Source organism: Homo sapiens, chromosome 3, assembly GCF_000001405.40.
Source record: "Homo sapiens chromosome 3, GRCh38.p14 Primary Assembly".
Lineage (NCBI taxonomy): Eukaryota > Metazoa > Chordata > Mammalia > Primates > Hominidae > Homo > Homo sapiens.
In genome coordinates, this window is record NC_000003.12 from 43,572,843 (window position 1) to 43,587,668 (window position 14,826).

At 40.3% G+C, this 14,826-nt stretch overlaps 1 protein-coding gene across 25 annotated transcripts in view; it reads right to left on the minus strand.

The window, feature by feature from the left end:
• Positions 1–14,826, minus strand: part of ANO10 (anoctamin 10) — a 325,747-nt gene that overhangs the window by 206,995 nt on the left and 103,926 nt on the right. For 24 of the 25 annotated variants that reach the window (NM_001346469.2, NM_001346468.2, NM_001204833.3 and 21 more), the window contains 3 exons: positions 7,511–7,630; positions 3,850–4,419; positions 1,967–2,022 (listed from right to left, as the gene is read on the minus strand). In NM_001346469.2, the coding sequence (NP_001333398.1) occupies positions 1,967–2,022; positions 3,850–4,419; positions 7,511–7,630 (746 nt within the window). The remainder of the gene's footprint in view (positions 1–1,966; positions 2,023–3,849; positions 4,420–7,510; positions 7,631–14,826) is intronic. The other variant, NM_001204834.3, reaches the window with a different exon arrangement.

The window sequence follows — 14,826 nt, forward strand, 5'->3', positions numbered from 1 at the left end:
AGATCAACACGACCGCAGGACAGGGGTGCTAAGTTAGAGCAGAAGTTGAAAAGCAAAAGCCTGGGAAGGCTAAGAAACACCATCCCCTTAAGATTAAAAAGGAAGAGAGAGGCCTAAGAAGCACCGTGGAGGAAGAAGACTTTAACCAACGGCTTTTTTTTTTTTTTACAAGGAAGTTACCTAACTGTATCTGGCATCATCAGAGAATAATAAAGTCTCATAAATAACTGAATTCTTTAAGACAAACAATGTTTTTACCTCTGAGGGAAAAAGCTCCTCCTGTTATATAACCTTTTCGAATGAACTTTTTAATGTATCCCATATTCCTTTACTTTCTTACACAGAGGGCACAGAACAGAACTTCCTAGCTGATTTAGCACCAACATTTTAAGTATCAGCCATTTCACGGTGTGAAGGAGGCCTTCGAAGCCTTTTGGATATGTAGGGCTACTTTTCCCTTTCCTATTGCCCAATTGTTGAATTCTTATCTCTTATGACAGCTTTTCATTTCCTTACCTGTTCTTTCTCTGTAGGTTTGCCTACTTCCAGAAATCTAAACACCCTCATGATGGTGATTTCTGATTTTTTAAGGACCGAAAAACCAGATAGATAAACTTCTTAGAATGATTTCTACAGCTAGAACAGAGATTCTAAAAGAGGGCCTGCATCCTTCTCTTGGGAGTAAAGTACACGGACTGTGTTAAATCAATTCCAGTTGAAAGTTCAGATGATTCTTCAGGTAACTTTCTTGATTCTCACTTATGTTACAGATGACTGAGGTAAACCCCCGATAAATGAGGTGTTTTCAAGCTGGTACTTCTTTATTATTTATAATAATGGTAGAAAGAGGCACGACATGTCAGCTTTTAACAAACAGCAAGCAGGTTACATACTGCTTTCTCTCTGTCTCTTTCCTCCCACCTGTCAAAACATGCTGGGAACCTTTTGAACTTTGGAAATCTAACAAAAAAAATTTTTTTTAATGTAATATTCCATCACTAAACAGGTTGTGGTGACAGGAAGGATTGCTAAATAGCAAAACATTCAAAGAAATCACCAAAAGGAAAAGAATAGAAACATATCTAAAAAGTGGGTTAGTTTTGTTGTTATTGTTGTTGTTTTTGTTTTTTGAGACAGGGTCTCGCTCTGTCACCCAGGCTGGAGTGCAGTGGTGCAATCTCGGCTCACTGCAACCCCCGCCTCCTGGGTTCAAGCGATTCTCCTGCCTCAGTCACCCCAGTAGCTGGGATTACAGGTGCCACCATACCCGGTGAATTTTTTTTGTATTTTATGGTAGAGACAGGTTTTCACTGTGCTAGCCAGGCTGGTCTCAAACTCCCGGCCTCAAGTGATCCACCTGCCTCAAGCTTCCCAAAGTGCTGGGATTACAGGCATGTGCTACCGTGTCTGGCCCGTTAGTTTCCTTTCTTTCTTTTTTTTTTTTTTGAGACAGAGTCTCGCTCTGTCACCCAAGCTGGAGTGCAATGGTACCATCTTGGCTCACTGCAACCTCCACCTCCTGAGTTCAAGCGATTCTCCTGCCTCAGCTTCCCAAGTAGCTGGGATTACAGGCCTGCGTCATCATAGCCAGCTAATTTTTCTATTTTTAGTAGAGACAGGGTTTCACCATGTTGGCCAGGCTGGTCTCGAACTCTTGATCCACCAGCATAGGCCTTCCAAAGTGCTGAGATTACAGGTATGAACCACCACACCTGGCCTAGTTTTTAAATAACTGGAAATTGGCTATAATACTAACTCCTATATTTTGAAGTCTTACATCACATGCACATTTGTAATAAGGCTACTGAACACAGAGGTACACATATTTATTAATCAATCCTTGCCTATTTGCACAAAATATATTGATATCTTAGATTAGAAGCAACTCTTCATATTTGTATTCCTATATATTATGTAGTATATACCAGTTTCATAAAATGGATTTGTACATAAACGCTGTACTTACCACTAAAACTTTCAGAATTAGATGGTTCTGATAGGCAGATTCCAATCTGTGATTCTCTAAAACATTAAAACACACAGGTAACTTCTCAGTAAGAAAACAATACGAAAGCACTGTTATGAGGTAAAGTGAGTTGCATTGAGGGCGGAGATGTCCAACATCAGAGCCTCAGTCAGTAAATGTACTAGGCTGTCAATCACAGCTATGCCTTACCACCAAGAGCATCAAACAGGGACACATTTTTCAGGGTACTGCAATAGCACTGTAGTCTGAAATTATTTTTTAAATTACTGCTACAAAGAAATTTGGGAAGTGCTGGCAAACAATCCTACAGACAGCCACCCAAAGACCCTGTATAAGAAGTAATAGTGAAAACTAATAATAGTAACCTCTAGAGAAGAGGGCAATAAATAAAGTTTTCTGTAAATAAAGTTCTGTAAGTAAAGTTTCATGTGGCTTACAAGGGTTAACTTGAAAGGAAACTCAAATTTCTATCTTCACCTAGAAAAGGTAATACTGCATAGATCCCAAAACAGCAAGATAAAATGACAAAAAGGAAGATTCTGAAGAGAAGTGTCATCTTACACATAGAGTGTTGGACTGACCTATATTTGAACACCAACTCAGCTACTCAGCCACTGCCTAACCTTGGGTAAGTTACTTAACCTCCTGATACTCAGCCTTATTCCCTCAAAACAAGGCTGACCATCTTCCTCCCAGGGTCACTCTCAGGATCAGAAATAATATAAAACTTTAGCCTAGTATTAGCACAAGGAAAGTACTTGATAAATGACAGCTGATATTGTCATACAACTAATAAAAATAATTTAAATCATCTTTTTTTTTTTGTGAGACGGAGTCTTGCTCTGTCGCCCAGACTAGACTGCAGTGGCACGATCTCGGCTCACTGCAACCTCTGCCTCCTGGATTCAAGTGATTCTCCTGCCTCAGCCTCCTGAGTAGTTGGGACTACAGGCGTGTGCCACCACGCCCAGCTAAATTTTTTTATTTTTAGTAGAGACGGGGTTTCACCATATTGGCCAGGCTGGTCTCGAACTCCTGAACTTGTGATCTGCCCACCTCAGCCTCCCAAAGTGCTGGGATTCCAGGCGTGAGCCACTGCGTCTGGCCCCTAAAACATATTTATGTCCCATAAAGTTAAGGCTTTGACTTCTTCCTAGGGAATAATATAGCGAATTTGTTCATTGGTTTGAATGAATAAATAAAGAGTCAATGGCCTATCAAGACCATTTTCAACTTATAACCAAGTTCCTTTTTTACCACAGATACATCCATAAACACCTGCCTTCAATGAACTCAACAGCAGTCCTCAGTGCCTCACACCAACTAGACACTCCATTTTAGGAAACTGGTCATAGTTGATTCAGCTGAGTATCATGAAGACATTTTTTTTTTCTTTCTTCTGTGGCTCTAGCCAGTGAAACAATTTCAATCTATTTTACCCTCGGCATGAAACACAATGTTATGTATTAGGAGCACAAGCTTTGGAAAGATAGGTCTGAATTAGTCTAGCTCCACTATTTGCTGTCTGAACCTCATTAAGCATCAGTTATCTTTATCCATAAAAGGGTGAAATAACTTCTACTTCACGGTACCCTTGAGAAGGTGATGGTGAGATACTGTGAATAAAGTGCTTAGCAGGGCACCTAGAACATAGTAATTAACACATAATAAATGAGAGTTACGATAACCATGGCATGGAGATCATCAGTGTTCACAAAGCTGATAAATTTTTCCTTATGTCTCTATAATGAGCCAAGAGCAACATCTATTTTCTCTGCAAGGTAGCAGCTATGTGAATCCCATGATCTAGGCAACATTTCTTACAGGCAAGTAAGACGTGAATATAAAGCCTCAAGTCTTACCCCATGAAGTTAAAAACTCGGCAGCATATCGATAGAGACGATTCATGATCTCAATCACAATGGCATAGATGATGCTGGGCACATACAACAGGACACTGGTCCACTCAGACCCGCTGTTCTCATGTAGACCCAAGGCCCAAACCTCCATGTCGAAGTAAATCATCATGACATACAGTGAGAAATAGAGGCAGAGGCACACGAATGGCAGGGAGACCAGGTAAATGCGCAACTGTCTCTTGTAGCTGGGGTACAGAGGCTCCTCCTTCCCAGTGATGGAATTGATACCCAAGACACCATGAAATCCTGGCCGGGGCTCCTCAAACTTTCTCTTCATGAGCAGTGTCCCCCACCTGTAGGTCATGTTGGCACAGCCACGCTTCCACAGTTCCAGAATCACCGTGGACCAGATGAGGTTGAACGAGGCAAAGATCACGTACTTGTCATAGTCTTCCCACACAAACAAGTAGTAAGGTAACCCAATGACAGCCATGGGGATTAATGCAAAAGTGAAATACTCCAAAAATCCAAAGTACAGAGCAATTGTTTCCCCAAAGTAGCCACGAATACTGTCTATAGTGGAAACAAAGAAAGAACATAAGTATAGACTACCAAACACTTTAAAAAATCATTTCAAGTACGCTTATTCATTTTTTAGTTAAGTGGGGATCATTCAACCCTCACTTCCCAAACAGCGTGTGGTGGTAAATCTACCCTCCATGCAGTATAAAGACCCTGCTTGTCTGCATGGCAGGTCCAACATTTCCCCCAGGTTAGGGGCCAGGCCTTAGCTGGGGGGTGTGCTCCGCCAGGTGCCTGGACTCTGTTTCCCCTCACCTGATGGATACCTTCTTCCCAAAGGAAAACTCATCTTGTAGCTTACCCAAAATCTCCAAGGTCCTAATTTAAGTTCAGCCATGTCCACTGAACATTAATTTGGGGGTTTAATTTATGCTCCCCACTTTTCTCCCACTTAGTGTTATAAATGTTCTTTTTGACGAAGACTCCCCATCCACAAAATTCTGCTCTTCCCTACCCAGAGACATAAACTTTCATCAATGTGTTATGGAAGATTTTTCAATACACTAAAGAAAAATTATTCAAAAGCACAAAACAGGATTCTACACATAAACTTCCAGAACAGCCATGGAACACATTTATCAACACTTTCATATATGCACTGGGCAGAAGAAGGTCCAAGCAACATGACTGCTAATGTTCTGTGAACTCAACACAAGCTAAATGACTCTAGAGGGGTCACCAACACTGCATCCTTTGCCAGCCTCATCCACATGGGGAGTGCTTGGATCATAAGAGCATCTTGTACCAGGACCAGGGTGGGAAGCAGGGGGTGAGAGGAAGTGTGACAGTTGGTGTTATTATTTCTTAGTTAATAATACACAGTTAACATATTTTTCTTAAGATAATTTGAGCAGTCTACAAAAATGAGTTAGAATGAACTGAGATAGGCTATTTTCTCCTATCCTTAATTCTTCCCCCTAACCCAAGAGCAAATGAAAACAGTAGGTATGATTTCACCTCAAATTTAAATCAGGTTAAAGAACATCCGATCATTTCTTTTTAAAAGATGCTCATGACACTTGGCTCCACAGCAGATGACCTTCCCCTTTCAATCTCAAGGAGCCTCAAGATCCACCTATGTCCCAGATGCTATCACCAGTCTCAGTCCCCAGCGACCCCAAATCCACTACCACCCCATGCCTAGCCTTCACCATCGACTCACTTTCTCCCCTTACTTTCTAAGAAGTAGCTAACAGAGGCCGGGAGCAGTGGCTCACACCTATAATCCCAGCACTTTGGGAGGCCAAGGCGGGCGAATCACCTGAGGTCAGGAGTTCAAGACCAGCCTGGCCAACATGGGGAAACCCCGTCTCTACCAAAAATACAAAAATTAGCCGGGCATGGTGGTGTGTACCTGTAGTCCCAGCTACTCAGGAGGCTGAGGCAGGAAAATCACTTGAACCTGGGAAGTGGAGATTGCAGTGAACTGAGATCACACCATTGCACTCCGGCATGGGCCACAGAGCAAGACTCCATCTCAAAAAAAAAAAAAAAAAAAAAAAAAAAAAGGAGTAGCTAACAGATAGTCACTTTACAAGTCCTAGAGGCAATATTCAAATTTCCTGCCACTTAAATGCCAAAACAAAGTTAAACAGTTGTTAAGTGTAATATAAAATGACTATTGTATGACCTGGAATTAACAATAACAAAACTTTTCCTTTCAGAGAATATAAACAAAATTCAAAATGTAATTTAGGGTTTGATCTTACAACAATTTTTGTTTGGTAAAACATTATATAATAGTTGTTTTCAGAAATAGAAAACAGAAAGAAAATTATTTTAGGATACCATTAAACAAAACCAAAAGGAAAATGTCCTTTAAAGAAAAAAAAATGATAGTAATGCAAAGGTGAAATCTACCAGCTTAAAAAACATAACCAGACTAAAATATTTGAACATCCATATTGACAAAATTTTAAATAATGTCCAGCACATACCAAATAAATTAATAATTATTCTTATAATTATATTCAAAGAAAATTGACAGATCCAGTAATGCATGCCAAGGTAATTACAAATCACCTCAAAAGATGTTTGGCCTGCTAGTTGCCCTAAGTGTGGCATAGCTTGTTTCATTCTAAATAACTGGCTCCTCAAAAATAGAAATTTTCAAATACAAAATAGTCATTTATAGTCAAACTAAATTCTTATTAAAACTTGTCTGAGGCTGGGCACGGTGGCTCACACCTGTAATTCCAGCACTTTGGGAGGCCAAGGTGGGTGGATCACCTAAGGTCAGGAGTTCGAAACTAGCCTGGCCAACATGGTGAAACCCCATCTCTACCAAAAATACAAAAAATTAGCCAGGCATGGTGGCACATGCCTGTAATCCCAGCTACATGGGAGGCTGAGGCAGGAGAATTGCTTCAACCTGGGAGGTGGAGGTTGCAGTGAGGTGAGATTGTACCATTGCACTCTAGCCTGGGCAACAAGAGTGAAACTCCATCTCAAAACAAAAACTAAAACAAAAACAAAAAAACTTGTTTGGTTCCAACTCTGACACACATTCAGGAAGGCCACTCTGAACTGTCTGTGTTGTTGGTGAAGGGTAGTAAAAGCCTGTGATTCCACTGATCTATGGTAGTATTAGAACATCAAAAAATGCAAGGCACAATAGCTCAGACCCATAATCCCAACACTTTGGGAGCCCAAGGCACAAGGATCGCTTGAGCATGAGTTCAAGATCAGCCTGAGCAACACGGCAAAACCCCGTCTTTACAAAAAATTAGCTGGGGATGGTGGTGCACGCCTGTGATCTCAGCTACTCAGAAGGCTGAGATGGGAGGATTGATTAAGTCTGGAAGGTCAAGGCTGCAGTAAGCTGTGATCATCCCACTGCACTCCAGCCTGTGACATAGTGAGACCCTATCTCAAAAAAAAAAAAAAAAAAGTTTAAAAAAAGAAAAAAGGGGTCATCTAACCTATCTTATTCCCTCCATCAAAATGTTTTCCCACATGTAGCTGGTGATCCCTGCCCAGTAGAGCACTAAATATCTGCCCAAGGGAGCTGACTCCACTGCTAGATCGTAACTTTTCATCAGAGGCCTTCCTCTTCTTTAAGAGAACAAGTACTGACACATACCTATGGGCTGATACTTCAAAGCAAACCGAGTGTACCAGGTGTCCTCAAGCTTCTTCAGGGCTTCACTGTCATGCAGTGGAAACACCTGAATCACGATGCCAGACGTGAGCAATCTTCTCACTGCACAGGGAAAATGTGCCAAACTGCATGAAATGGACTGGAGATTGTGCATGATACGCTTCAGCAAATACTATAAGGACACTCCACAGAGGAGTACAACGCAAAGGTCAATGTCATACTGCCTACTCCAAACCTGTATATTCTTTCATTTTTCAGAATGTAAATATCTTTACTATTCTCTTTGACTATGAAGCAAAAAAGTAAATATAAAATTTTAAACCATATAGAAGTGTAAAAATTAAGACTATGAGAGGCCCGTTAGTCTCTCTTTCCCCTTGAAAATAACCACTGTAAAAAGCAATATAGTGTATAACCAGACATAAAAATATATCCATATATATTTTAAGAACAAAAATAAAATCATTTTATACACACTATGTTGTTTCATAATCTTTTCTCATGTAGTAGTATACAGTGAATATTTTTTGATGCCAGTAAAAATAGAATATGAAATGTCCTTTTAACAATACCATAATATTCCCTTGTATGAAATGCTGTAATTCAACTAATCTTCTATTTAAAAATATGTTTCCTTTTGCTATTGTAAATAATGCTAAAATTTGTACAAATACCTTTCCCTACCTGTCTACTATTTCCTTAGTAAATATACTTAGAGGGGGAACTGCTAGGTCCAAGGGCATAGTATTTTAATATTTGATACATATTATAAAATTGTCTCCAGAAAAAATTTACCAATCTGTCCTTCCACTACAGTGAAGGTAAGAAAATGTTCAGTTCTTTTCATTCTTGTTGATACAGAGTATTTTCAATCCTTTTCATCTCTTCTAATCTGATAACAAAAGCTTACACTCACAAATAGCAAATAACAAAATCAAATTAAGACTTCCTACTTTTAGCAGTCATTTGACTAGTATGGTTTGAACACTCATGCATATATCTGGAAGAGACAAATGAATTTAACCAAAGACCGTATCTCCCAGCAATATTAAATGAAAATTTGGAATTCTGTCATCCACAGTAATTACTTAGAATGACTCAGTGGGTGGAGAAGAGTGTCTTCAGATCTTTAAGAGGAAGTGTGTTCTGTAGATATGGAGAACTCAAATGCAGTGCCTTGTGCCATATTTGGGGAGATGGAATATTTTCCACATGAGTTCCTAATACAGTCTCTTACTAAGAATATGGTTGCTTATAAAATGAAATTTGGCCAGGCACAGTGACTCACACCCATAATTCCAGCACTTTAGGAGGCTGAGGCGGAGTATTGCTTGAGGTCAGGAGTTCAAAACCAGCCCAGGTACCATCACAAGACCTCCATCTCTACAAAAAATTTAAAAATTAGCTGAGCGTGGTGGTGAGTAGCTAGCCTGTAGTCCTAGCTACTCAGGAGGCTGAGGTGGGAGGATGGCTGGAGTCCAGGAGTTCAAGGCTACAGTGAGCTATGATAATGCCACTGCAGTCCGGCCTGGGCAACAGAGCAAGACCTCATCTCGAAAAAAAAAAAGAAAAAAAAAAAAGATAAAATTTGCATTAAGAAAGGATGCTTTGCTGTTTTCATCCATTGATAAGTTTTGAGCTTCTTTAAGGTTTATCAGCTCAAGTCTTCAGAGAGCTACCTCTCTTATCTCTTATCTACCTGTTACCAGAGACAGATGATAAAAATATCAGGCATAAAACCCCTTATTGAGGACTGGCAAATAAATGTCTGCAGTGTGGAATAGAAACACAAAGTTTTTGGCTGGGCGCGGTGGCTCACACCTGTAATCCCAGCACTTTGGGAGGCCAAGGCGGGTGGATCACAAGGTCAGGAGATCGAGACCATCCTGCCGAACACCGTGAAACCCCATCTCTACTAAAAATACAAAAAAATTAGCCGGGCGTGGTGGCGGGCGCCTGTAGTCCCAGCTACTCGGGAAGCTGAGACAGGAGAATGGCATGAACCCAGGAGGCAGAGCTTGCAGTGAGATCACACCATTGCACTCCAGCCTGGGTGACAGAGCGAGACTCCGTCTCAAAAAAAAAAAGAAACACAAAGTTTTCAGTGTAGAAACACTACATAGAGACAATGTATTCTTAGGACAGGTCCCCATCATAAAATCTTCAGAGTAACTTAAAAGTAAACCCAACTTCTTAGACATGAAAAAGAAAAAGATAATCAAGAGATATCTGGTACTAACAATAGGAAAAGTCTGAAAAAAAAGATTCTTCATATATGTTTCTTCCCACAATTATATTTTCATAAGTTACACGAGGAGAAAAGTTTTTAAAAGCTAGGTTTGTGATAAAATTCTCCTTCATGATTGTAAAAAAGTATATACTCAAAGTATCAGTAACTAGGGTAAAAAGACATGGTTGAAGTTACTCAGCCTCTGGTACTGTCGAATCCATTTTTTAATATTTTAATTCTAACATGGTTCAGTGGATTTTTCTTCAGCTTAGAAGAGTTAGAGTTGATCACACATGACTGTTCTGATTCTTATTCCTTATTTGGGGATGTACAGGCTACAGCTGATTCCTTCTTCCTATCACTACTCTTGTAAATTACTACATCAAGTTTTTTAACGGAACTGACTTACAGCATATAAATTATTTTACTATTTCTAAGTTCTCTTTACAAAGATGACTCCATTCTACTGTAGAAGACTTCCCAGGCAGGCATAAAAACCAGTTTCTAAAAATAGGACTGTGAACTGAAGACTCAGAGAGAATATAAAGCTGCAGGTCCTAAATTACTGATCTTCTCTTCATCAGTGCCAAAGTCATGGTTCTGTTTTCAGCTTCTAAAAATAGAAGTTTGCTTTTTGGTTTTTTTTTTTTAATCCTTCAAACTTCTCATGTCAGTTAAGAATGTAATTACTAGGAAGGAGCCTTACCTTCAAAGGAAACCATGATGCCATGTGGGCCTATTTAAAGAAAGCAAAAACTTAAGCCAGATTCCTTCCTTCAAGAGTGCTGAATGATCTCTTATCAAGTACTGGGGATATGGCTGTAATAGCCATTGAACCGTGAGCCAAACAAATCAAAATCTAGTTTAAGAGAGACTATCAGTAATGTAGTTTACAGTAGGACCCTCCAAATTAACTAATGCAATAACAATACTAACACAGTACTGCTTCTGTCTTTGGTTTATGTGATGTGTTTACTTCAAAAGTAAAAGCAAAATCCCTCTCATAACGCCTTACAGCATTTCTGTGGGACAGAGAGGAGCAGGTCATGCTACCTCCGATCCAGCAGGGGGTGATAAGCACAGATGCCCGCAGGAAGTGGTGGCCAGCAGCCTTTGCACGATGAAGACAGTCCCTGTCCCCACAGCTGCTGCTGCACCTAGTACTCTAACTCTAGCACTCAGGTGTGAACAGATCACTTTTGTCTTAATAAAGAAAACAGTATCTTTCTTAAAGAAAATGCTATCATAAGGTTCTAAAAGAATATCTATATAATATTAAAGACATAATATATGTGCCAGGTGGTCCCATCAATCAAAACATGATAATCATCCAATAGACATTTTGAGACACAGCTTTGATCTAAATCAAGTAATATCCCTTAGGATATGGTTAAAATGTTAAGAAACCTTGGATCCCTTAAAAACTCCTCTTTCTAAAACTCTTTCATTAGGTTATTTGCATGATGATTGACTGTTAAGCACTAGGAGAAGGCAGAGTCTGAGGGCATGAAAAGATCTTAGACCACATGAAAACAGGAAATGAATGGCTGTCAAGATGAATGCTTGAGGACTAAGACACATGTAGCCAATTACTAATTCTCCATGTTGCTTGTCATGTGGTGGAATGAGGGGGAACCCCAATATGCATGTAAGGAACATGGCTGTGCTTTGGTTGAGGATAGCCCAAGGTAAACATCCAGAGTGACTCAGCAAGTTTAGAGCACAGGCATATAACTCCACTTGTTATCATAGCCATGTAGCCATAATGTGGCTTTAATAGATGGACAGTGGGAAGCCAGGACACGGCTCGGCTCACTCATACCCAGAGAGAGAGTTAGGCTGCTGACCCTGAAGGGAGAGCCGACCACGCAGCTGTGTATGGGAGCCACCGGACTAAGCAGCTGAGACAGGGCGAACAGTGTGAGAGAGCTAGTGTAAGTAAGCTGCTGATGAGAGAGCTGCTGAATAAAACTACCTTTCACCTGCCTACGGACCCCCTTCAGCTATCGGCTCATCCACCCACTCCCTTTGGACCTCAGCATGAGCTGGAACCTGACCCCAAGCATAACATTTGGCATAGTCATGGACCTACAATGCACATCTCACAGCGCCATCTAACTGCTTCGAAATCATGTTTACGTGACAAAACTTGGTATCTACTTAATGAAAGCGTTCTATCAAAACACAACATTACAGCAAGCAGCAAGCAACTTTACACGCGTGTGTAAAATGAAAATCAAATTAAACGTAAGATCTGGGGAGTGTTTCTCATGAAAGCCCTGGCCACCTTTCAGTCTTGAGGGGTATCACATTGGGCAGACTAAAGCCTCTCCTCTCAATTAGCCTCAAAGAGACTGCCCAGGGGAGCAGCTGCCTTCAAGTAAGATGAAAATAGCTTTTCCTCTTATTTCTATGGTTTAACTTAATGAAAATCTAGTATTTAAGTTACTCTAAGTTTTATTAGTTCTAAAATTTGCACTCTGAAAATAGGTCATAGTTTTAATTATGCATATACCACTTTTCTTCAACCAAGTATTATAAAATTAAAATGATGCAAAAAACACAGCAGTTTAAGGATCACACTCTCAAAGGCATAAAAGAACAGAATAATGCAGCATTTAAAATCCCAGGGTTGACAACTTAATTCTTATCTCAAATAGTATAAAAATCTTTCCAATGACCATGATCAAAATGATTTTATTGTATTCATATTTAGTACCAAAACGGAAGGAAAGGGAAGGGAGAAGAGAGGAAGAAAGGAAAAAAAACAACCTTTGTTTACAAAAGCCTCATCCTGCCAGCAAGAAAGTTATTTCTATTATTGCTTCAGGATACCAGACTGGCTACCTACACAGTTAGAGAAATCCATTTACATATTTCCTTGAAGGTTTTCATTCATCTTAAAATTTCTCTCTTTGAAGCAACTGGAAGCATTTGAAAAACTGCTGCTCCATTATCCCATCTGATCAAAGAGCACACACACTCTTTTCTCAGTCCCAACCACATCCAAGAGAATGTACCTGTGCAGAAACTCACAGGTGGAAGCCGTGATTTCCACATTATCAATGTGGATGAAAAGGGAGAAACAGAATGCTTACGTTAGCAATCAGGACTGTGCCCCAGTCTGCTTTGTATTTTATTGGATGCAGTACCCAGCTGTGTCTGAAAACATGCCTTCCCACTAGGAGATTAAGAAAGATTCAAAAATTTTGGGACAGTATCAAACAACTGCTTAACTACAGAATGTGGAAATCCTGGTTACAAATAGTGGCAGAAAGATACCTCTGCCCTGTTCTTGTTCATGATGCCAAATTAAAAACAAAAGGAAACAAGAAACATAAAAAGAAATCCCTAACTTTGATGCAAGTATGAAAAAACAAACTAAAATTCCAAATCACAAACTATAAAAAGAGGCCTGGAAAATCAGCCCTGGGTAAACTAAGAGCACCCATGCTTCTGCAAACCTGGGCCAAGCACACAAAGGGCAAGGCTCTCCTGGAACTGGGGATGGTAAACCACAGTCCCCTTGCTCAGAATGCAGGCAATGAGGGTGCGTGACAGACACCTGGAGTACGTCTGCTCCCTGCCTGGCACCATAGCCAGATAAGAGGCCAGGTTGGAGGAAGAAGAGCAAGTCTGCCATGTTGGAAGAGTGACCTGCTGGGACCAAAGGATGGAAGGTAACTAGCTGTGGAGCTGTGGGTCTTGGTGGGCCAAAGACAGGCCTAAATGCCAAACACAAAATCCCTGCAAGAACAGGGCTCCATGGAGGTTCTTTTCAGGGACTAAAATGGCTCAAGGAGAACGCACTGCCAGGTAAAATCTGAGCTTCTCACTACCACAGTTCCCTGCTGGAAGCCCCTAGGACCCTTCTCTCTCCCACACACACTTTCTTCTAAAAATGGCCAGTCCAGGAAAAATAAGGGTTCATTAAAACATAAGTAATAAAAAATAAGTAATAATCACAAAGAAAACTGGCATCGAGCTATGCAAAAATACTGCCTGGAAAAAAGGGAAAAACCAAAAATACTACAAGAAAAAATATATAAACAAAAGTCAAAGAACAAACAGCAGAAAATTATAGCATCCAGCAACAAAAAACCATGAAATTCTTCATGAAATTTAAGAAATTCATGCAAACATTCCATCTTTGAAATTAAAACTCAAAGAGGACCTCTGAGAGCTGAAGGAGAGAGCTCAGAGAAGCAATGCAAGAGAAAAATAAATCTGTTACAGATTCAAAGTCATGATAAAAGCAACAAAAAAAGGAAAGACTGAAAATACAATCGGGAAACTGGCAGACAAGCCTAAGAAAAGTATGTAAGAACAAAGACTTGAAAATACTACAAAGAATATGTAAGAGCCCACATATATAAAATTGGCACCCCTCAAGATGAGAACAGAGCAAACACAACCAAATAACTCTTCAAAGATAACTGAAGAAATTTTTCCTGAAATCATGGTAATCCTTACCCTGTATACTGAAAGAACATTATGTCCAACCAAAAAAAAATTTGATAAAAAATAACGTCAAGACATATGCAGATAACTGGAAATGCAGACAAATAAGAACAAGAGTGCCTACATTCAAACTTCCTGATACCTCCTAAAAGCCATACAGATCAACAAGGAGAGCAAGTAAAAGTACCTATAACATATGCCTACAGCACAACCCAGAGACAGGGGAGACTGCAACATGTAAGCCAGGCAATAAAGAACCAAGACCTGGAAGAGATCTGGGCCACAGTCTAGAATGGTGCAGGAAGTCCCAGCAGGAGCTGCACAGAGAAACGGGGAGGCCAGGGGAGTCCATATGGTGTAGGAACCCAGATAACACCAATGAGGACTCATCACCCTCCTTCAGGAGAAGGCCCCACACCAAGTGGGAACTTCCAAGAACAAGTCTGGGACCTGACGGATCATAGCTCTGACAGCAGCAAGGGCTGAAGGGAAGGGTTGGAAAGTACACAGAACAAGAGGCAAGCTGACCGTAAAGCACTGCTTCTGGGAAATGCAAAGGGAAGTGTCTAGAAAAGTAATAGACTTTGGGGGTAGCAGCTTATGGGGA